The sequence below is a fragment of the Homo sapiens genome, chromosome 11 (genome assembly GCF_000001405.40).
Source record: "Homo sapiens chromosome 11, GRCh38.p14 Primary Assembly".
NCBI classification, from domain to species: Eukaryota; Metazoa; Chordata; class Mammalia; order Primates; family Hominidae; genus Homo; species Homo sapiens.
In genome coordinates this window covers 44,718,606-44,741,747 of record NC_000011.10, presented here as the reverse complement: position 1 = coordinate 44,741,747, position 23,142 = coordinate 44,718,606, and the positions used below count along the sequence as shown (strand labels likewise).

The following is a 23,142-nucleotide window of genomic DNA, read 5'->3' as shown; positions in this document are numbered from 1 at the left end:
TCATGTGGCTGGTAGGGACCGACCCAGGATTTGAACCCAGATCCATGGGACTCCAAAACTAGAATTCACCTCTCTTGCTCACAGCACCCATTCAAATGCCAGGAGGACTCTACAGCTGCCTTCAGAACTTCCTTCTAGCAGCACGTTTCATGTTAATCCCGTATGTCTCACCAGCAGACACGCACGAACTCACACACACAACTTTAGCTACATTATCATCATCATTATTTTTTTTTCCAAAAATATTCTATCAGTAAGGTCATTTTTCTTTACACACACACACACACACACACACACACATACATGTCTGAGACAGGTTTGAATAGACCTTTGTGAGTGGCTAGACTACGAAGAAACAAAAATTGCCCATTATTTAAATTCGATTACATAGCAACCACATTTTTAAAAGAATATTTTTATTTGAGCTCATTGTGCAGCCAATCTTCAGACACTTTTCTTTCATTAAACTGCTTTGAGAAGGAAAAATTATCAAATGAAAGGGAGGAAATGTTATGCATATCATCCCAGCTCTTGAAAAGAATGCCACGGATTGTCCTCTTTGGCTCTTAATTTATTTAAACAACATCCCCATTTCCATCAACAACCACGCCTCGGCTTCCTGAGAGCTTTTCTCCAGGGGACACAAGGCTCCGAGGTCATGTTCCCCGTTCAAGACTCTCAGGGGAGACCCAGAGGCTCTGGAGTTAAAAGGAGAACAAGCAGCCCCACTCCCGTGATGCGGATGGGATATCAGAAATCCACAGGGATGGCAAAACCTCGTCTCTACTAAAAATACAAAAAAATTAGCTGGGTGTGGTGGTGCACGTTTATAGTCCCAGCTACTTGGGACAGGAGAATCGCTTGAACCTGGAAGGCAGAAGTTGCAGTGAGCCAAGATCTCAACCCTGCCCTCCAGCCTAGGTGACAGAGAGAGACTCCATCTCAAAACAGAAGTCCAGAGGGAACATGAGAGTTTGTTAGAACCAAACCAAGACTGGACTTAAAGATCAGGCTTTCCGGACTCGCAGTCCAGTGCTCCCTCCATCACTCCATTTGAGGAACAATGGAAGACAGAAATTCACAGGCTAGGATGGGGTTGTGGGGGCAGCTCCCCCAATTCTTTGCTAATTCTCTGCATTTCCAGGTGTCCCTGTCTTGCTGAGGGCCCACAGCCTCTGAGCTCGGCCACTACGTCCCCATCAGCTTCTAGGTGCAGAGTCCCCCAGGGAAATCTCCCACCTGTGGCCCAGTCCCAGCCCCTCAGCAGCACCAGGTGCCCCATGCCCCTGGCTGGCCCTGCCCTCTCACAGGACACACAGGTGGCAGCTGTTCCCCTTGGTTGTACAGCCTGCTTTCCCAGCAAGAAGGCTCTGGAAAGGAAAATAAAACAACAAAAAGCCCTTTGATCTGCCAACCGACACCCTTATCACACAATGGAGGAAGGTAGAGATGCCCTCTGTCCTGACCCACGGGTCTCCCGGTCACACATCCTCCCCAAAGGGTCCCAAGGGCTCTTTCCCAAACCCTACCTAGCCCAGGCCCCTGCACCCCACAAGATGAAAAGGAAAAGATGACATTTGCGGGGACAAAGCAGAGATAGGCAAGGGGCGGGCAGAGATCGGAGAGGGCCAGGCAACCATGACAAAGAGAATAAGCCACTGACCCGGTAGCCACCCTACCATAGGTGTCTCTGCAGATTGTCCATTTGGTGGGACATCAGGAAAGGGGCATGCATGAAACAAGCAGCTCATTCCACTAGTCGGGAATGACTGCATCACGGCTGGCCATGCAGTGGCACGCCAGGCACCCATCCCAAAAGGACATGCCTCTCCCATGTCCCATGGTCCACCCAGGAGAACCTCCATGGCTTCGGTGAATAGCTGTTCCCTCCGGTTCCTCCAACCTCAAGCACCAGCTTCAAACTCTTGGCCTGAAGGCAGGCTGGAAAAACCCATAGGAGCAGCCCAGGGCTGTCTCTGGGCCCAGAGACTGGTGTAAGATTGAGAGTGACCTTCCATTGAATATGCTTTTGTTTTATTTCCATATTCTCTTGCTATGTTACTCTTTATTTTTTCCTAAGTCTTTCACCAGGAAGACATGATTACTTTCTTTTCTTTTTGAGACGGAGTCTCGCCTGGCTCTGTGGCCCAGGCTGGAATGCATTGGCGTAATTTCAGCTCACTACAACCTCTGCCTCCCGGGTTCAAGTGATTCTCCTGCCTCAGCCTCCTGAGTAGCTGGGATTACAGGCACCCGCCACCACACTCGGCTAATTTTTTCTATTTTTAGTAGAGACAGGGTTTCACAGTGTTAACCAGCATGGTCTCGAGCTCCTAACCTCAAGTGATCTGCCCGCCTCAGCCTCCCAAAGTGCTGGGATTAACAGGCATGAGCCACCGCACCCAGCCAGACGTGATTATTTTCAAAGAGCAGTTAACTCCTGGAAAATCCAAAAAAAAGATACGGAGGGAGGGAAACCCTGGAATCAAGAAACTCCCCTCACTTCCTGGGATGTTTGACTACCTTCCCACCCTGTTGCAGCCTCCACCTCCCTCACAGCCTAGGTGCAGAAGTAAAGGTCCCCATCCCCTAGTAGTTTTGGCAGCTGCCACCAAACGAGGGATTCAAGGCTGGACGGGAGCAAAGGGCCAGGAGAGAAGTCACCAAGACCCCTGGATCCTGATTTCCTCCCAACCCTGCTGTTAAGAAACAAACCAGCTCCAAAAAGGGAAGACTGTGAGGATCTGCAGAGGAGAAGAGCCAGGAAACAGACCATCTGGCGGTGGAGTGCAGGCTCCAGGTTCGGACTACCTGGGTTTTACACTCCTATACTTGTTCAGCAGCTATGTGACCTTGGGCAAGTAACTTAACCTCTCTGTGCCCTGGTTTTCTCAACCATAAAATGGGGATAGAGTACTGAATTAGAAGATGTTACCGGCTAAATTGTGCTTCCTGCACACTCATATTTAAGCCCTAACCCCTAGCACTTTGGAATGTGAATGTTTTGGCAATTAAGTTATAATGAGGCCTTAAAGGGTCCTAATCCAATCTGACTGGTATTCTTAGAAGAGGAGCTCTGGACACATGGGAGACACCAGGGAAAGGCTGTGCGAGGACACGGTGAGAAAGTGGCCATCCGCAAGCCAAGGAGAGAGACGTCAGAAGAAACCAAACCTGCCAACACCATGGTCATGGACTTCCAGCCTCTAAAACTGGAGAAACAAATATTACATGAATTAATTTATGTAATCCTCACAACTCATAAGTTATGTGTTATATTTAGTCCCATTTTATGATGGGAAAATGAGGCACAGAGAGGTTGAGGAGCTTGTCCAAGGCTGCAGAGCAGGTACGTGATAAAGCTGGGGCTCCAGCCGGGGGGGCTCCAGCCAGGTGGGCTCCAGCGTTCCCACTGTAAAAAACTCTTCTATTGGTGGATGAGATCTGATTTGTGAGGGCCTGGCACCCTGCAAGTAATCAACACATATTAGCTGTGATCATCCACAAGCCAAAGAACACGGAGGATTACCAGTAACCACCAGAACAACCTAAAAAAGACTGGCTTGCAGAGGAGAAAATGGAGAGAAGGCAAGAGAATTTCTCAGGCACCTTCTGAGACCCTACCAGGTGCCTTGGATACAAGGAAGAACAGACAGGCACTGCCCCTGCCTTCCTGGGCTTACACCAAAGTGGAGGAAATAAATGTTAAAAAAAAAAATTACACAGAGAAGTCAACAGTCATCCAAGAGTGACAAAACACCACTAAGGAGAGGACTGTGGAGCCATCTGAGCCTACAGATGGGAAATTTGGCCCATTAGGAAGTCAAGGAGGACTTCCTGGAGGAGGTAATGCAGGGGCTGGGATCCAAAGGATGAGGAGGAGTCAGGTAACTAAAGAGGGAGGAAAAAGCAGTCCAGGGGAGGAAGATCACAAAGATTCATTCATGAAGGTAGGGGCGAGAGAAGAAAACAAGCGGCAGATGGGCTGCAGAAGAGGTAGTGAGGCTTGCGTGGGGAGGGGGCAGAGGTCACATGAAAGCCTTTTGAACACAACAGAGAATCCATCGAAGGGTTTTAAGCAAGGCGGCTAACATGACCACATTACACAACAGATGTTTTCCTAACTAAGTGTGTAAGCTGAACTTCTGTATTTCTTTTTAAGGCAGAAGGAAGCAGTGGGAACTTTAGAGTTAACTTGCCTATAAATTGAATGCAGACTTTCAAATCCAGCTGGCATTTTCATAGATCGGGCTCCCTAAAATGAGGTACGCCTATTGATTTATCACACTGGAGAAGGGTGGGCCTCTCTGGTGTGCTGGAGACGTCAGGGAGTGCCTCTGGTGGCTGCGTCATGGGAGAAACCCCACATTCTGAAAGTGATCTTCCCACTCAGCCACCACGACCTGCTTCCTGCGGTGACCACAATCTTCCCAGACCCCCTTCTCAGCTTCTCCTCATCCTCCAACCCAGCTTGTCCTTTGGGTCCATGAGGTGGCCTTTCTGTCCTGGATGCCCTGAGCATTTTCATGGCATTCTACGGCTCCCTTTGGGCTTTGGTGCTATGGCCTCCCCATGCCCCCACATAAGAGGGGCTTAGGGGCAGAGGCCTTGGTACATAGCAAGGAGGGATGGAATCCCAAAGAAGCTATAGCTAAGAATCTACCCATTCAATCATCCATTTCCTCATTCATTCAGCATGTGAGCATCTGTTCAACCCCAGGCACTGAGCTCCACGCTGCAGGCTCCATGGAAAACCAAACAGAAACATCTCCGCCCTCACTCTATGGAGGAAAACAGATGACAAATAAAATATTTAAAGTAATCCTAACATTCACTGAATACTTTTCATGTACCACATTCCATCCCAAGAGATACATTTATGCATTTTAATCAAACCCTGTGAGTTAAAATGGAGTCAGAGAGAATTTAAGTGATTTGTCAAAGATCAAACAAAGGTCATAGTGTGAAGCTGAACTGGCATTTGAACCCAGGCGCTGTGTTCAGAATGTGTCCTAACCCTCCACAGCAGGTTGCCTCCCCTGCTTCCTTGCACCCAGATGAGGCTGCATATCAGAGTCCTCCAGCCTCCACAGCTAAATCCCTAGACCCTTCAGGGCCCGGAGGGAAGGGCTCTGGAGCTGAGAGTCATCTACTGAGCCTCCCAGGGACCCCCCCTATTCAGATGCCCAGACACCCTCCTGGGGAGAGAAGCCCAAATTGCAAAAGTCACCATGACTTCTGATGCTAAAATGGAACCCAAGAAAAACATCAAGCAAGAAAAATCCATCTCAACTGATATTCTCAACTTGCGAGGAGACGGAGCTGGCAGGCAACTCCAGAAAGGCGAGTTGAAAGAATGCAAATGGTGCCTTTCATTCGGTCAACTCAAACAATTATTTCTAGAAAACATTGTAGCTCCAACTGGTTGTAATTTCTATATGCTGATGTTTCCTGGGAGACATCCCATCTAGGGAGCAAAGATGAATAACACGACTGGCAAACACTTAGCTGCGGACAGAGTGTGTTTTGACACAGACATTCACCTCCTTTGATGCTCAGGACTAGGCTATGAGGTAGGTATATAAACCTACTGTAATAGTAAGAGGAATGAAATGTATAGAGAGTAATTTACCAGTCACTTACTAGTTGTATAGGTGTATGAACTTGGGCAAATTACTTAACCTTTTTGCACTGACTTCTTTGACAGTAAATAGAGCAATGATACTACCACCTCTATGGGTTGATCTGTGTACCCCAAAACGATATGTTGACAGCCTAACCCCTAGCTGTCAGGAACTTCGCAGATATAATCAGGTTAAGAGGAGGTCATGGCTGGGCGCTGGTGGCTCACGCCTGTAATCCCAGCACTTTGGGAGGCCGAGGCGGGCAGATCATGAGGTCAGGAGATCGAGACCATCCTGGCTAACACAGTGAAACCCGTCTCTACTAAAAAATACAAAAAAATTAGCCAGGCGTGGTGGTGGGCACCTGTAGTCCCAACTACTCGGGAGGCTGAGGCAGGAGAATGGTATGAACCCAGGAGGCGGAGCTTGCAGTGAGCAGAGATCGCCACTGCGCTCCAGCCTGGGTGACAGAGCGAGACTCCGCCTAAAAAAAAAAAAAAAAGAGGAGGTCATTAGGGTGGACCCTAATCCAACATGACTGGTGTCCCTATAAGAAGAGGAGAGGCAGACACACAGGAAGAATGTCATGTGATGATGGAGGGAGGCATTTACCAGCCAAAGAACACAGAGGGTTGCCAGTAACCACCAGAAGCTAGGAAGAGGCAAAGAGGACCTTTCCCTAGAGCCCTCAGACAGAGCATGTTCCTGCCAACACCTTGTCTGCAGGCTTTTAGCTTCCAGAACTGTGAGAATAAGTTTCTGTTGTTTTAAGCCATCTAGTTTATGGTGCTGTCATGGCTGCCGCAGGAAAGCAATAAGCCGCCTCAAAGGGCTATGGAGCTGCCTCAGAGCTGCTGCCCTGCACCACAGAAGCCGAGGTCTGGATGCAGGAGTGAGTGAGGTGTCTGAGGGCCCCAAGGTGCCACAGTCACAGCCTTCCCTGGCCTCCGTGCCTGAGTCAGCATAAATCCAGCTGCAGGGGAAGGCTACACTCTTCAATGACCCCAGGAACAAGTGTTCACTATGCTCAGGAGAAGAATGCGCATCTCAGAACCCTGTCTTCAGAGACCATCCTCTTCCTAACCACAGGCCCCTCCACTCCCCGTGTCCAGCCTGCCCAGCTTTTCTCCACAGGGACCATGGAGGGCGGTGTTTCTGTTTTGACTGGAGAAATGCCTCATTCCCCAAGGGCTAAGACACCAACCAATGAGCAAGTTCCCTGGGCCTGCCCTGCTGGGGGAGCCCTAAATGTCAGGCAGCAGGTGGCCCAGTGCACTTGGCCCACTAGAGCACGCTGCAATCTGTCCCCCCAGAAGGAGAGGCAGCAACACAGGGTGGGGTGGGGGAGCCTCTCTCAGCAACACCCCCAGCCCTGAACCCACTGTGGGAGTTAGACATGAAAAGATGGGCCTAAATCCAAGACCCAGGGCTCCAAATTCTTGTCCCGTTTCAAATGGAAGCCATATTAGTTCAACACAAGAGTCCAGCCCAAGGTTGCTGGGAAGGGAAGTGGGTACCTCTCCTTCCAACGACCAGGAGTCCAAGCATGTGTGCCCACTTCTAGCATCTCCCCAGGCACTGTTCCCTTGCCAAGGGCAGCTCTTCCTCTTCCTCAAGGGGGAGAGAAGAGGTGCAAACACGACACCTACTATGTGCCAGGCACTTGACTCGCTTTTTAGCTTTCCTATATTCTTGCCATTTTGCAGAGGAGAAAACTGAGACAGGCTAAGAGAGATGAACAAGTGTTAAGTGGAGCAGTCAGGATTTTAACCTAGGTCTGGACATCTTACTATCCACAGAAAAGCAGACCTGGAAAGCCTCCTAGGGCCCCATCTTAGTCCGTGTGTGTTGCTACAAAGGAGTATACAAGGCTGGGTAATTTATAAAGGAAGAGGGTTTTTTTGGCTCATGGTTCTGCAGGTGCCAGCATGGTGCCAGTATGTGCTTCTGGAGAGGGCCTCAGGCTGCTTCCACTCAGGGCAGAAGGTGAAGGGGAGCTGGCATGTGCAGAGATCATGTGGTGAGAGGCAAAGCAAGAGAGAGGGGAGGGAGGAGCCAGGCTCTTTAACAATCAGCTCTCCTGGGAACTGACAGCATGAGAATTCACTTGAGGAAGGGCACCAGGCCACTCATGAGGGATCCGCCCCCATGACCCAAACACCACCCCCACAACCTCCAACAGTGGAGATCAAATTTCAACATGAGATTTGGAGGGTCAAACAAACCAAACTATAGCAGGACCCTCCGCTTCCCTGCCCACTCTCACAAGGACACAATGGGCCAGCATGGGGGTACACAGGTGGATGGGAGCTGCAGGTAGCAGCACCAGGTGCGCCTTGGAAGGGTACCCCGAAGCTTGGCTGCACGGCAATTCCCAAAGCGGCCCAAATGTGGGTCCCAAATTCTTATGGCTCTCCCTATGAATACCTAAGACTCTGGCTTGTCTCACCTCAAGGCCAGACCCTTCTCCGTTAGTTTCCAGATAGTTCCTGCAACCTCCCCTCCTCACCATCCATAAAATGAATACAGATACTCTACCCTATTGAGGAATGCAGGGAGGAGACAGGAGCAGAAGTGGGTTCTGAAAGATCCTGGGAGACATGCTGGAAAAAGTTCTCAGAGCAGTAAATTTCAGTAAGCCAAAGGAAGTCATGGGAGAACTGGGCTGAAGATCCAGGGCCTGGCTTATAGTGCCCTTGCCATGCGTGGACTCACCTCCCTCTGGTATGTTATAGGCACAATATGATCTGCCCAGAAATAATCTCAATAGACACAGTCTGTAATCTACAAAGAGCAATGTACATCGGGGATTATTAGGGAAAGGAAGCTTCTATGTGTTAACAACCAGCAACATACCAGCTCTATACTAGAAGCTTTAAATGCATCATCTCAATTGATCCTTAAAGCACTCTACTAGGGTAAATGTAAATGCAGAGACTTAGTGCTCATCAAATATCCATGTACTTCCTTACATTCTCAGCCTCCCTGGGGGCTGGTTTGGGGCCAGATGACAGTTCTGACCAAGGTGCTGGAGGTGAAGTGATGTGTGTCACCTCCTGGCCAAAGCAGTTGAGTATTAGTGTGGCTTTCCCTTCTCCCTCTTCCCCATCTGCAGTAACTTTGGATGCCACATGCTTTAGAAGGGGCAGTTACAAAGATGGTGGAGTCATCATCTTTGGAGCCTGGGTCCCTGAGTGACCGTGTGGAACAGAGACCCATATTAGACAAGTAATGTGATCAGGAGTTAATCATTTTGTTAAGCCACTGAGATTTTAGAGTCATCTGTGGTTGCTGTTATTCTGATTTTCACAGATAAGGAAGCCAAGGCCACACAGCCAGTAAATTGCAGAATCGGGATTCAAATTTCAGATCTGTGACTCCAATATGCATCCTCTTTCCATTACAACCTTTTGTTGCTTAATAAGATCATTCCCCGCTCTAACCCCTCCATAAGCAGCCATGTCCCAAAAAACTCTTACTCATCACTGTCCCCAAAATGCCTGAGTAATCCATGCAGGACAGAAACGGAATCTCATAAGGTGCCCTGAGCCTGCGAGATTATCAAAGGTGGGGAGGAGGGGGCTTGATTCAGTCTAAGAGATATCATTCCTGGGGCTTTTCGGCTCACAGGAGGTTTTGATACATGAGGAAATATAACACAGTGGTTTAGCACACAGGATAAGAGAATCAGATCAACCGAGGATCAAATCTCAATCCCACCACTTACTCTGAATTCTTCCTGAGCCTTCACTCTCTAATCTACAGAATGGGGGCAGTATCCAAACCATCCTTGTAGGCGGAGACAGGATGAAGTATTGTCAAGCACCTGGCGGGCGGCAGCATTCCCCAAGTGTCTGCCCCATGATAATCATCTCTGGGATATCTCAGAGCAGCAGCCTTGCTGGAACAAGATGAGGCAGAGGCCCAGCCTGGCCTGGCCCCTCCCAAGCCGCTGGAAGAGGCTGCCCCGGCCAGCATGGCCAATAAGGTCCAAAGCTTTAGACCACGGACCGGGCCCAGCCCACGTCCTTGGAGCAGACCATGGGCAGAACACAAAAAGGGATTCAGGGCCAGCCAGACATAAAGCAACACAACAGAAGAACCAGATTATTTATCTTAAAGTCGAAAGTGTCTTCTAGGAAGATGGCTTTTTATTTGGGTGACTCTGGGAGAGGCTGATCAGCTTAAACACATTATCTGCACATATGGTTTTCATACCATGGTGAAGGGTGGGAAACAAAGGGTGGAAGGGAAAGGACAGGCAAATGCTAGCTGATGAAATATCATCCCTCAACTGCCAGGAGCCAGGATATTGTCAGTGACGTCAAATTGGGCTTCTTGCCATGGGGACGGGGCTACCATGAGCCTAGTCACAACATTCAGGAGTCCCTCAATGAGGCAGAGAAAGGAAGAAAAGAACCAAAAAAGCAACTTATTCACCCTTACCTTCTACCCCAAAGACAGATTTTCTCTCTCTCTCTCTCTCTCTCACACACACACACACACACACACACACACACACACACAATCCAGGCCCCAGAAAACTAGAAAGGACCAAAGTTAATCCCTCCCATTTTACAATAATAGTAATAATGATAATCATGACAATGATGATGATAGTGAACACTTATTGAGCACTTACTATATGCCAGGCATTATGCTAAATGTTTTACTAGTTTTATCTCAAAGACTATCCACAACAATCTGATGGGGTATTACTAGTTCCATTTTACAAATCAGGAAATGGAGGCACCAGGGGTTGAATGGTCTAAGGTCACACAATTGATATGAAGTTATGATAAAGCTAACAGGCAAATCCAGGCAGTTTAACCACCACGCACTGCTGCCTCTAAAGAAATAGAGAAACCGAGGCTCAGAGAGAGGCTGTGACTCACACAAGGCCACATCGCTCCATCTGTAACAGTATCAGGGCTGGAACACCAGTCTCCTAATGCCTAGTTCAGCTACCTTTCTGCTCCATCCTGTTGCCTTTTGTACACACTTGCCCACCACCAGTGAACATGTTTTTGCTCATCTCCAAGTTGTTGAATTCACTAATTAAGCCAGCAGTCTTGGGTGCAGACCAGGGGCAAGAGCTGAATCTTAAGACAACAAGTACCCAGATGAAAGACCAGCCCTGCCAGCTGCAAACACAGGCTCACCATCTTACTCTCCCATTCTTTATAAAAAGTGTTTCAAAAGCCAAGTGCAGTGGCTCACGCCTGTAATCTCAGCACTTTGGGAGGCCGAGGCAGGTGAATCACGAGGTCAGGAGTTTGCGACCAGCCTGACCAACATGGTGAAACCCGTCTCTACTAAAAATTCAAAAAAAATTAGCCAGGTGTGGTGGCACACACCTGTAATCCCAGCTACTTGGGAGGCTGAGGCAGGAGAATCGCTTGAACTCGGGAGGCAGAGGTTGCAGTGAGCCAAGATCGCACCACTGCACTCCAGCCTGGGCGACAGAGCAAGACTGTCTCTCAAAAAAAAAAAAAAAAAGTGTTTCATGATCCACCCCCACTCCCTCAGATGGAGCACTAATGCAGGTCCAAGGTGCCAGCCCGGGTGGCAGGAGGAGCCCAAGCTGGTACATTTGCTCAATGGCATCAGGTGGTAGAAACGCCTGATCAATGGGCGTCATCTGCTCAGTGGGACCAGAGTGCTGGTTTCCAAGGCCCCCTCCCTGTGCTGCACCCCAGCTGAGCATGAACAAATGTTCCTGATTTTCCCTCTCAATGGCTGATGAAATAGACCAGAAAAGCAGCCCTCTGGAAAGGGAGAGGTCCCTAAAACCTGCACCCCAGGAACTGAAAGGGCTCTTCCCAAGAAGAGTGGGGAGCGAGCCTGCAGACTAACATGGGGCTCCCAGCAGGGACTGGTTACAGACATTCCCCTCTCTACCCAAAACTGCTGGGCACTTTGTCCTTCAGCTCTGATGGCAGGAGCTGGTTTCTGAAGCTGCTGCATTCACTCAACGCAGGATTTTGCTGTGTACAGGCGGGCAGAGAGAGGCAAGCCAGCCCGGAGAGGCACCTTCCACTGAATGGAAGGCAGAAGGAATGGAGCAGGGCTGCCCAGCCCCCTAAAAGGTTAGACTCTCCTGCTCTAAGTTGCAAGATAGCTCAGAATCTCCTCAGCCAACATATTCATTTTACAGACGGAGGAAGCAGGCTCAAGAGGGGAAATAACCTGCCCAAGGCCACACGGATGACTCAGAAGAGCTAGATTTCAAATCTGCTATTTTCCCTCTTCCTGGCACCCCCTCCCACACATCCTTGAATTAATCCTGTGTCCCTACCCAGCACCCTGCCCTCCAACACACCCCTCAGACCATTAAAATCTCATTTTTTAAAGGGCAGAGGGTTCCTTCCTGGACTCAGCCCAAGGTGTCCTAAACCCAACCCCAAGGTATCCTAAACCCAACTAACTTCGGCTTCTAGAAAGTGTCCTGGAGCTTTCAATGATGTGCTACCATTTCAGACTGGGGTTGGGTAAAAGCACCACATATACTGGCTGTTTGAATGGGTTTGGGGACAAGGGAGACAAGGAAACAGAGTGCCCAAGACTTGAAATGTTGCTAAATCAGAGATCTTGGAGTTTGCCTGGGAGAAGACTGAGCCCACACAAGATACTTTAAGCCCAAACACAGACTTTAGTAGCCCTTGGGGACCTTCAACTCCCTCTCCAATTCAGGAAAAGTGGGGTGGGGGTAGGGAGAAGAGGGGAGGGACAGAACACGGGAAACGCTGGCCTTCTAGGGGCCCCATGCTCCCAGGCAGGTTCCAAGGCAGGGCTGGTCCATGCAGGCTTCCCTCCACAGAAAAACAAGAGTCACTAAAAGCAAAACACAACAAAAAAAAACTTCTTTTGTTTTCCAGCCCCCTGGAATGTCTTAAAGACCTATCCAGACACAGCAGGCTTCTCCACCCTTTCCTTTCTCTCCTCTCTCCTCCTCCTCTTCTATTCAAAATAAAAATCATGCTGATCTGTCTTTATGGCAACTTTGTCCTGGAGCATTTCAGTAGCATCCAACAAAAACATGTGGCAGACTACATTGAACAGAGGAACCTCATCTCTTTCAGGGACCCCCATTTCCCCCACCTTTGTAAGGGACATTAAGGACATGGGAGCAGGAGGGGGGCTGCCCAAGGAGCACAGGTTACCAGCTAAGAGAAAGATGAAAACTTCTACCAACCACAATGAGGCCACGGCACAATCTATGATTTGCTCCTTTGCACTCACTTGGGGTGATGGGAGGAGGGAGGGAACTGGAGAGAAAGATGAGGCAATAGTCCCTCCAATGTCCCTTCAATGTTAGCCCCGCACATGACAAAGATGACAGTCCTCACAGATGCCAGCAGCCGTCGACTTCCCAAGGCACAGACACACAGACTCAACATACAGGGACCCTGAGGCCAGACAACTGGGACCCAGGGCAGATTTCCACCAATAATTGTGAAATGACCAGAAGAATGTGGCCTAGAGACCACAGACCCAGGGGATGAGGGTGGGGGCCAGGGCTCGTTGACTGCTGAGAAATTTAACACTTCTGCCTGGACTGCTGAAGTCTTTAAGGCCCCATCCCCCACCGCCCGCCCTGTGCCTCCCAGTTTACTTGTGCCCAGAGAGAGGATACCCCAAGACCCCCATCCTGCCTTCACCAGACAGGGATTCGACCAGATCCAGGAAACAAAGGTGCAACTTTTACAAAAAGGGTGCATGCATTTTGGGGTTTGGGTTTCTGCAACTCCAAAAACCGTCAAAAAGTTAATTCCCCAACCCACTCTCTCTGCACCAATTCGCAGTTGTAGTTTCTTACATCTTTTTCTGGGGGTAAATTTCTTACTCATCCATTTGCCCTGGCAGCCTTCCCGAGAAAAATCACATCCTGACTCCTAGCCTTTCCAGCCCACGGCGCAGTTATAACTGTGAACCTTTCGCCTCACTCTTGGTCCCGCTCCCCCGTCTGGCTAGTGTAGGGCGGGCTCCTCGGGGCGGGACCCCGCGTAAGTTGGGTGTCTGTGGTCCCTGCGTCCTGGATGTCGGCGCGGTTGCCTCGCAGGAGCCAGAACGCGCTTCCTGCTGGCGAGGGCCGGGGCAGTGCGCCCCCTGGCGGGAGCCCAGTCACCTCACTCCAGCAGGACCCGGAGCCGGCGCGATCCCACCCGAGCCGAGCACCGTCCCAACTGGCTCCCACTGCCCCCTAAATCTGGACGTGCCCGAGCCTCCCACCCACCCAGCACTCCATGGAGTCTCCACTTCCCCAAACCGCACACACCTAAGGAATAAGGGGGGTCCTGGAGGAACGAGTGGCGCCTCCGCCCCGCCCCGCCCCGCTGCCAGGGACCCCAAAGGCAGCCCGCCCTCCATGCAGCTGCCGGGCCCCACAGCCCTCCCGGCCCCGATCGCCGCTCCCAGTCCCTGGTCCCTCACTGTCTTACCGGGTGGCGTGGCGAGCAGCCCCTTTCCGGGCGCAGCCCTGGCCGAAACCCCGAACCTTGTAACCACACCTGCCACCCCGCGCCGTTCTCCAGAAGCCCCCACTCCTCCACCCGGAGCACTGGGAGCCCACCGGCTCTGCACCTGTCCTGGGCGCAGCCCCCGGCCCTCAGCGGACTCCGGGCAGGCACGGGGTGGAGACCGTCCCCGGCCCCCCAGCCCCCGCGTGCTAGTTTGAGTGGAACTTGGTTGCCGGGCTTCCGTCCTGGGATCCCTACTCCACCCCAATTCCCCGCCGCGTCCAGCAGCACCCCCGGGGCGGCGCGCGGGGGGGTCCCCAGGTCCCCGGGGGCGCGGCGGCGGCGTGCGGAGGGCACGGAGGTGCGGAGCCCCATACCTTCCAGCGGCGGCTGCCGGACCCCGCGCCAAATCCCGCCGGCGGCCGGGGGGAAACTTTCCTGGTCGGAGGGGCGCGCTCGCAACTTGCCCGGCGCCGGCTGCCTTCCCGGCGGTGGCGGCGCGTCCGGGGACCCGCAGCGCGAGGCGGCGGCGCTCGCTCGGGGCTCGGGGCCGGGACCGGGGCCGGGGCCGGGGCCGGGGCCGGGGCCGGGGCTGGGGCCGGGGCCGGGGCTGGGGCTCGGGCGGCCTCGCGCGGCTCCGCGGTGGATCGCTCGGCGCTACGTCCGCCCCGCAGCCTGGAGCCCCGCGACGCCGGCGGCAGCTGCACGCCCGCCAGCCCGCCGGCCCCACCTCCGCCGCCGTCCGTCCCTCCCCTCCCCCGCCCTCCCTCCCCCTCCCCAAACCTCCGCCCCTCCCGGCTCCAGACGCCGTTGCTGCCGAGAAGCGCGTCTCCTCTGCGGGCTGCCCCTCGCCTCCCGCCAGCCTCCGCCTCCTCCTCCAACCCCGCGTCCAGGCCTTGTCTGGGGGTCCCTGGGCCCACCCTCTGCCCATCTCCCCTTCCTCCGCCTCCGACCACCTCCCGCTCTGCTCGCGGGCCCTCTCTGCGTCTGAATTCGGAAGATCGTTGCGGGAGTGGGGAGAGGGGCATGCTGGACCCGAAGTGTTTATTCCAGGGGAACTTTCAGCTGACCCCGGGGCCCAAACGCAGGGGTTGGGGTGAGATCCTCGGTCCTGATCGGGCTCCTGGGCTTCCCGCTGCCGGGGGAAGTACCTGTTGAAAGCCTGGGGAACTCACCCTCCTCTGACTTGCAGATAAGAAAGGGGACTTCCTGCATGGAGGGGCCTGACCCCAGGTCAGATGCAAATGACTTGATTGCAAGGGGCCAGATCTGTGTCTCCGGCCTCAGGGCTGAGGTTCTTGCGGGGCTGGGGAGCTTATCTTTTCTTCTCTGTACTGCTGCCACAGCAGCACTGGCTCCCAACCCCTGACATGACTTGCCTGAGACTTTTAACCTCTGAGCCTCCTCTAAACAACTACCCGACCCTGCCCCAGACAAAACGGACAAGCAAGCAGATCAAAACTGACAGCCCAAGTGAAAGTACTGATGACAGGGGCTCGGGTCGCCCACTCCTCTTCCCTTGGCAACTCTGTTTTGAGTCCCAGCTTGAAGCTTCCACACCCCATCCCCGTGGGCCCTAGGCATTCAAGCACACATCAGCTCTGCAGGAGGCCCCTTGGCCAGCTGATTCTCACTAAGGGGTGACTGATAGGAAGGAGTTGACCCTACTCCTGTCTTGTATATGGATGTTGGTAGTCAGGCCACTGGGCAGAGTTTGGGGGGAGGGGGATCTTCTTGTTTTGTTTTTGTTTTGTTTTTGAGACAAGGTCTCGCTCTGCTGACCAGGCTGGACAAGCCTGGTCAACAAGCACAGCTCACTGTAGCCCGACCTCCTGCACGGCTTACTGTAGGCTCGACCTCCTGGGCTCAAGCAATCCAATCCTTCCAACTCAGCCCCCTCGAGTAGCTGGGACCAGAGGCATGTGCCATCATGCCTGGCTAATGTTTTCTGTTGTTTTTGGTGTGTGTGTGTGTGTGTGTGTGTGTGTGTGTGTGTGTGTGCGTGTGTGTTTTGTAGAGCTGGACTCTTACCATGTTGCCCAGGCTGGTCTCCAATTCCTGGCCTCAAGTGATCCTCCCACCTCAGTCTCCCAAAGTGCTGAGATGACAGACGTAGCCACTGCACCCAGCCACCAGCCAGAGTTTTGAGAGGCAGGAAGTGGCTGCCTTTCCTTGCCCACATTCCAGGAAATGGATTCGTCCCTGTAAGGGGATGTCCCTGTAAGGACTTCAGGGATGTCTGGTCCTTTAAAGAACTTCACCGCGTCACCGGGACTCTTAGAGTAGGCACGTGGCTGGAAGAAAAATCCCTGGATCCGCGGTTTCAAAGGGACCCAGAGTGAGCAAAGCTTCACCCAAGGGGAGGAAGTCCCTAATGGTGGAATTTCTATAAGAGGAGGACAAGGAGAAGGGCTCCACATTCACCCTTCAGCTGCCAAAACAGAATGGAGGGTGGAGGCTGAACACCCCACAGGCCCTGCACTTGTGGAATGCTGCTGGGAGAGGCCCCGTGTGAGCCTCCTTGGACACCAGGCGCCACATACATTTAAAGAGGAAAAACGGGAAGCCCACAGCAAGGGTGCTGGAGCTGGGGAAGTGGAGACCAGAGACAGGCAGAGAGAGGGATAGAGTCTCTAAGGGTCTGGGGCTTGGCAGAACGGGGCAGGCGCAGGGGAAGAGAGTGCAGACCCGCTGCACAACTTAGACAACCAGCTCGGTCCCTGACTCCAGTTCCAAGTCAGTTTCCTGGACCTCAGCCTCTCTCCAGCCTCCATGGAGGACCTGGCCCTATCTGTGCATTAGCTAAGGACATCTGCTGAATAGGCTTCTCTAAATCAACTCTTATTTTTTCATTCTTTTTTAATTTACTTAAGTGAGCTTGTTTTTAAAAAGATATGTTAAATTATTACCATAAATGGAAAGCCAGCATCACATTACTATAAATAGAAGGTAACCATCAAAATAAATACAATGAAAATAAGTGTTATTAAATTCTAACAATGTATCTTTAACCACAATAATAATAATACAGTCTAACAAGATACTGCTGCCTGAGGAGGTGTTGAAGCTGAGGTCCCACTTTCTCTTTGAAAGGAAGGTTACCAAAGGCTAGAAAGGTGTTAAAGACACATTAGCAACAAACTCTTCATCAAGAGCATTGATGAAAAGAGAATTGGGAAGGGACCCCCTCCACTCCCACTCCTCACCAGGTCAATTAGGGTATTGGAGGCCCTTGGATTACCTCCAATGACCTTAATTTCCTTGAACATCTCGAATGTCCTCTCAATTGGGAAACATAATTCTATGTATTGGTGCAAAAGTAATTGTGGGCTGGGTGCAGTGGCTCACACCTGTAATCCCAACACTTTGGGAGGCCTAGGTGGGTGGATCACGAGGTCAGGAGATTGAAACCCTCCTGGCCAACATGGTGAAACCCCGTCTCTACTAAAAATACAAAAATTAGCTGGGCATGGCAGCACGTGCCTGTAATCCTAGCTATTCGGGAGGCTGAGGCAGGAGAATTGCTTGAACCCGAGAGGCAGAGGTTGCAGTGAGCCGACATTGCGCCACTGAACTCCAGCCTGGCGACAGAGCTAGACTCTGTCTCAAAAAAAAAAAAAGAAAAAAGTAATTGTGGATCTCATCATTGAATGTAATGGCGAGAACCACAATTACTTTTGTACCAACCTTATATTAGGCCAAAAAAGTACTTTATTTTTTTAAAGTTAGGCGCCCGAAAAATTTAGTCCTGGACAAGATAAGGCTGACTCGGGTTACAGGAAGACCGCACCTCCCTCTCACAAGGTAATCTTGAGGAAATCCCTCCCTTCTCTGGCCTCGGTCCTTACATCTGTAAAATGGAGGCTTGGGCAAATGGCCCATAGAATCCCTTTGGCTGTTTGATGAAAGCAAGTAAGACACCAAGATTGTGGCTTATCAGGAAACTTAGAGGGTGAAGTCTCCACCAAGGAGAGGGGCTAAAGAGGGGAGAAGCTGGGAAGGAACGAAAGAGCAGGTGGTGGGGCTGTGGATGGATGGGCAGTCCTCAGGAGGGAGAAGGAGCAGTGAAGGCCAGAGCCGACCCACTGGAGTCTAGGTTGGCAGAAACCCGGAAGTGGCCTGGCCTGAAAGTTCTAAAAAGATTCGGGAAGGAAACTTGTGGAGAATTCACTGTAATCCAACCACTTCATTTCACCAATAGGGAAACTGAGGAAGAAACATAGACTAGATTCTCATCATGGTTAAGAGCTGGGCATTGAACCCAGACCTCCTGACTCCCAGGCCAGGGTGCTTTCAATACCTCTGGAATTGGGGCATCTAGTGGAAGTGGTTCTTCTGAAAATACTCACCTTTCCCCTAGGAAGCTCTTAGGCTTCGCTTTCTCCAGCATCTGGAGAAAAAAGTTGAATTGGCCTAAAAGCCCCAAATTCACCGAAGTGTGTCTAGTGCTGCACCACCCAGGTTCTACGCCCCAATCACTGTACACAGGATTTACAGTGATTGGGGTGAGCATTTGCAGACCTAATGCCCAGCAAAGATCCCTGAACCAGGAGTCCACAGGCCCACGTTCCAGTCTTGGCCATCTGGGCGATTCCTTCCCCTCTCTGGGCCTCAGTGTTACCATCTGTGAAATGAGGCATCTGGACAAGATCAACAGGTTTCAAGTTGGGTTGGTAGGTACTGCTCCTGGGTATCTTAAGAATGAGAATATCTTAAGAATGAGAGTGGTGAGAGAGGACGAGCAATCCCCCTCCCAGCTTTAGCCAGAAACAGGTTCCCTTTTTATCTGTTTTGCATGATGGTGTCTCACATGAGATTTCAAGGAGAAAGTGTCCTTTGCTTAAAAGGCATTTGAAATCACTAGAAGGGATGACCTCTGGCTTCTGACATTTATAACGTGATGGCTGATTAGGCTGCGCAATTCTCAAGGTCTGGGGCCCTGCTTTGTTCATCTCTGGGTCTCCAAGACCCAGTGCAGAGTTGGTACTCAGGGGAATTTTTTTTTTTTTGAGATGGAGTCTGGCTCTGTCGCCCAGGCTGGAGTGCAGTGGCGCGATCTCAGCTCACGGCAAGCTCCACCTCCCGAGTTCACACCATTCTCCTGCCTCAGCCTCCCAAGTAGCTGGGACTACAGGCACCCGCCACCACGCCTGGCTAATTTTTTGTATTTTTAGTAGAGACGGGGTTTCACCGTGTTAGCCAGGATGGTCCTGATCTCCTGACCTCGTGATCCGCCTGCCTCGGCCTCCCAAAGTGCTGGGATTACAGGCATGAGCCACCGCGCCTAGCCACTCAGGGGAATTTTTTATGCCACCTCATAACTGTGCCACCTTGAGCCAGCCACCTAAACTCTCCCATGCATTTCTAAATGGGAATCGTAACTGCAACTCTAGCATGGGGTGGCTGTGAGGGTCTCATAGAAACTCCTTGGTATAGCTCCTGGCACATGATAAATACGCAATACAGGTGAGCCCAATGCTTGAATGGCTGTTTGGATAACACTAGACTTGGCAGATTCTTTCCCCAGAGGCATGCTGACCTTACAACCTAGCTTTGCCAAGGCAGTCTGCATTTTAAATGTTTAATCATTGCCTCCCTGATTTTTTTCTGAATTGTCTCCTTTTATATGTAATTTGCAATCATTTCCAAAACATGACAGTTCATTAAATATACAACTGAGTGATTAAATTTGTTTATCTTTGCAATGACTTTCATGGAAATAAATTCACAAATCTTAGGAACACCCTGTGGAGGTTAGAAGGTTGTGGTCTTGACACTTCTGGGCCTCGACTAGCTCAGGGATTCCTCCACTTTCTCTCTTTTTCTCCCTTCAACAAGCTACACACAGGCCAGGGCCAGCCTCTCTGAGTGTTTTTAGCACAAGGTCCAAGGGTCTGCCTGCTCCTTCACCCTCAGGAATGCTTGCAATTCCCAGGGACACACGCGTGCACACACACACACACACACACACACATTATATACACCCCGCCACACACACACACACACACACACACACACACACACACACACACACACACCCTGCAGGAAAAGAGGTAGAATCTGGATGGCTTTGCTGGGAGGGGTCCAGGGTCAAGCTTCCTCTGAATGCATTGTGGCTGAGCTTTCCAAAAAGTAACTCCCTGGGAATAGCAAGGGAAGGTCCTGCTGGATAAAGAGATTGCTGAAACTTCATCCTCCACCTTCGCTTTTAAATTAACTGATAGTCAACAACACAATACCAATAACTGCCATTTATGGAGTGCTTACCTGGGTAGACGCTCGGGTTGCGAGGTTAGATAAACCCAAGTTCAAAGCCTGTCTCCTTTGTTCACCAGCTGTTTGGCTTTGGGGAAGTTACTTTGCCTCCCTGTGCTTTAGACTCCTAATATTTAACATGAGGCACTGTGATCAAGCCTTTAGAGGCCTGCAAGCCTACTTAAGCCTCCAAACAACTCCATGAGGCACAGATGGTCAGGAAGCTTGTTTTACAGAGAGGGAAGCTCAGAGACCTGCTCAAAGTCACCCAGCAAATAAAGTACTGGGATTCCAACCTTTCTCATTATATTTACATCCGGACCACATCTTCATGTGACAGGGAGAGAGGAGTGGGCAGGGAGGTCAGGTGACCTGGAACCAGTCCTGGCCTTGAACCTCTGGCTGTGCAAGCTTGGACGAGTGGCCTAACTTCTCTAAGCCTGTCTTCTCATCTATAAAGGGAGATGTTAACACCTACACAACTGTCGTAAACACTGAAGGAGATGACTTCTGCAAAGAGGCTTTGAAAACCAGCAAGCATGTAACAAATGTAAGACTTTTAAAATCACCATTATCGTCTGTGTAGAGCTGCTGAGATTACAGGTTTAGCACTCAGAGTCTCACAGGGCACCTGGTACAATTCAGTCATGCAACAAATATTTGTGAAGGTTCAACTGTGAGCCAGGAACTGGCTGTGTATGTGGGCACTCACTTTTGAGTAAGAACAAAGAATGCATATGGTCCCTGGCATAATCAATGCAATCAGTGAATTTTTAAACTTCAGCTAGGCTGGGCACGGTGGCTCACACCTGTAATCCCAGTACTTTGGGAGGCTGAGGTGGGCAGATCACCAGAGGTCAAGAGTTCGAGGCCAGCCTGGCCAACATGGTGAAACCCCGTCTCTACTAAAAATATAAAAATTAGCCGGGCGTGGTGACGGTGGGTGCCTGTAACCCCAACTACTTGGGAGGCTGAGGCAGGAAAAGCACTTGAAGCCAGGAGGCGGAGGTTGCAGTGAGCCAAGATCGCACCAGTGCACTCTAGTCTGGGTGACAGAGCGAGACTCTGTCTCAAAAAACAAAAAACTTCAGACTCATCTCATGCAAGGGCTCTCCCATTTCACTGAAGATAACACTGTCGTAAAGCTGGGGATGGGCAAGAGGGAGTTATCCAAATCTACCAGCACGTTGACTTCAGAGTTTAGGGAAGTTTGGATCCTGCCTCCCACATTACTGTTCTCTGCTTCATTTTCTGCTCTCCCAGACTCACCTGCTCACAGTTACCCTCTTCCTGCTGAACTATTAGTCCCCATGCCCCTGCTGCCTGCCTCCAGAGCCCCTATGTCCATCCACTACTCTGCACTTGGATGAAAAGAAAAGAAATGGGAAGGCAAACACATATCTGTCAACCAGGGATCTCGGGCAGTGTCCAGGATTTCCCCTTGGAAAACTCTAGAGGTGGGTGCATGGCCCAGGGCTCTCTGGTACCTGAGCAGATACCACCTCTGAGTTGCTGAAAATCCCACCATGGAAGTAATGGTGATTCAGATCAACTTCCTTGAGGTGTTGGAATGACCTGGCTCTTGGACCCTGGAGGCAAGATTAGATCAGGGCTGAAATCCGTGACCCTGGGCAATTTACTTCCTTTCCCTGAAGCTCAGTTTTCTCCTCTGCAAAATGGAGAGGATAACAATCTTGGAGTTTGGGAAGGTTAACTGAAATAACACATGTAAAAGTGCTCACCACAGGGCACACAGTAATGACTAAAGACTGTGGTATCTATTTTCCTGGCAGACCAAGTCTAATTGATGCACAAAGGGTGCGTTGAAAGCCTACTGCATGCTTAGAGGAAGCCAAAACTGTGAAGACCACAAGCCAAGAACTTTATTGAGCTCTTACTGGGTACTAGACACTTCGCTTAACACTGTATCTCTATTTATTCCTCCAAACTTATCTCTCCCGTAAGATTGTGGGCTCCTTGAAGGCAATGTCTATTTTAGTCCTCTTTGTCCCTACCATAAACCTAATCTGAAAGGAGGGATGTATTAATATTATTGTCTCCATTTTACAGATGGGAAAATTGAGGCTCTGGAAGATTAAGTTACCTGCCCACGAGCTCCTAGCTAGTGAGTGGCAGAGCTGGAATTTGAACCCAGGCAGTTATATTCCACAGCCGGTGCTCTGTATCCTGACTCACACTACTTCATGCCTGTTATCTCTTCTGTTCTTTCCAAAAACCCTGTAGTCATTAGCATTACCCCATTTTACAGATGAGTAAAGTGAGGTTCAGGGAGGTAGAGTGAGTCACTAAGAAGTGCAGTGGCCATGACTTTTGAGACAAAGGGCAGGTGGCTGGCCTACAAGTGTTCTTTAGCCAGTAAGAGCTGCCTGCTTTGGAGCCAACTGACCCCCAGCAGTTACACAAGGTGCTCGGGCCACTGGGGCATGTGCTGGGAGTGGTGATAAGGCCAGTTCACCTCCTGGTCATTGATTTTGATGTCTGCTTCATTTTCTGGGGTGCCAGTGGGCAGCAGACAGCAGAACTGAGGAAACTGGATTCCTACCGGGCCATCTCCAGGCTCAAGGACAGATCTACACCCAGCTGTCACAGTGACAGGCATGTCAGGACAGCCTGCCAGAGTGGGAAGGACCTCTCTCCTGCTCCTGTTACCTAGGCAGCACAGGCTGGCACCTGCTCCCTGCTCTCTCCAACTTTCCCTTCCTCCTTCCCCCTCCTTCCCTCTCCTTCTGTTATGAGTTGATTTGTGTCCCCTCAAAAGATGTTGAAGTCCTAACCCCCAGTCC

The 23,142-nt window shown here is 51.0% G+C and overlaps 1 protein-coding gene and 1 long non-coding RNA gene across 8 annotated transcripts in view, besides 7 other annotated features; one reads left to right on the top strand and one right to left on the bottom strand.

Annotated features, from left to right (window-relative positions):
- The window catches only part of TSPAN18 (tetraspanin 18), a 206,114-nt gene extending 190,676 nt beyond the window's left edge, over positions 1-15,438 (bottom strand). For 5 of the 7 annotated variants that reach the window (XM_011520459.4, XM_047427846.1, XM_047427849.1 and 2 more), the window contains exon 1: positions 14,461-14,786. The gene's annotated coding sequence lies outside the window, so the exon portion shown is untranslated. Of the gene's footprint in view, positions 1-14,065; positions 14,353-14,460; positions 14,787-15,258 lie in introns of those variants that run through there. The other 2 variants (XM_047427847.1, XM_006718372.4) reach the window with 2 other exon arrangements.
- On the top strand, positions 5,056-22,356 carry TSPAN18-AS1 (TSPAN18 antisense RNA 1). Its single transcript, NR_189298.1, has 3 exons — positions 5,056-5,343; positions 5,459-5,573; positions 22,132-22,356. It is a non-coding gene; the product is annotated as a TSPAN18 antisense RNA 1 (long non-coding RNA).
- Positions 12,281-12,781: an enhancer, noted in NCBI's record as "NANOG-H3K27ac hESC enhancer chr11:44750517-44751017 (GRCh37/hg19 assembly coordinates)". NCBI's record gives its function as "activates a minimal SCP1, AML or CMV promoter by ChIP-STARR-seq in naive H9 embryonic stem cells {active_cell/tissue: H9 hESC(naive)}" and the evidence as "EXISTENCE:reporter gene assay evidence [ECO:0000049][PMID:30033119]".
- Positions 12,782-13,284: an enhancer, noted in NCBI's record as "NANOG-H3K27ac hESC enhancer chr11:44750014-44750516 (GRCh37/hg19 assembly coordinates)". NCBI's record gives its function as "activates a minimal SCP1, AML or CMV promoter by ChIP-STARR-seq in naive H9 embryonic stem cells {active_cell/tissue: H9 hESC(naive)}" and the evidence as "EXISTENCE:reporter gene assay evidence [ECO:0000049][PMID:30033119]".
- Positions 13,654-13,823: a silencer, noted in NCBI's record as "silent region_3279". NCBI's record gives its function as "represses an Ori minimal core promoter by ATAC-STARR-seq in GM12878 lymphoblastoid cells {active_cell/tissue: GM12878}" and the evidence as "EXISTENCE:reporter gene assay evidence [ECO:0000049][PMID:35858748]".
- Positions 14,536-15,397: an enhancer, noted in NCBI's record as "H3K27ac-H3K4me1 hESC enhancer chr11:44747901-44748762 (GRCh37/hg19 assembly coordinates)". NCBI's record gives its function as "activates a minimal SCP1, AML or CMV promoter by ChIP-STARR-seq in naive H9 embryonic stem cells {active_cell/tissue: H9 hESC(naive)}" and the evidence as "EXISTENCE:reporter gene assay evidence [ECO:0000049][PMID:30033119]".
- Positions 14,660-14,809: a silencer, noted in NCBI's record as "silent region_3278". NCBI's record gives its function as "represses an Ori minimal core promoter by ATAC-STARR-seq in GM12878 lymphoblastoid cells {active_cell/tissue: GM12878}" and the evidence as "EXISTENCE:reporter gene assay evidence [ECO:0000049][PMID:35858748]".
- Positions 15,000-15,169: an enhancer, noted in NCBI's record as "active region_4662". NCBI's record gives its function as "activates an Ori minimal core promoter by ATAC-STARR-seq in GM12878 lymphoblastoid cells {active_cell/tissue: GM12878}" and the evidence as "EXISTENCE:reporter gene assay evidence [ECO:0000049][PMID:35858748]".
- Positions 15,398-16,258: an enhancer, noted in NCBI's record as "H3K27ac-H3K4me1 hESC enhancer chr11:44747040-44747900 (GRCh37/hg19 assembly coordinates)". NCBI's record gives its function as "activates a minimal SCP1, AML or CMV promoter by ChIP-STARR-seq in naive H9 embryonic stem cells {active_cell/tissue: H9 hESC(naive)}" and the evidence as "EXISTENCE:reporter gene assay evidence [ECO:0000049][PMID:30033119]".
- Positions 22,357-23,142: the final 786 nt, after the last annotated feature.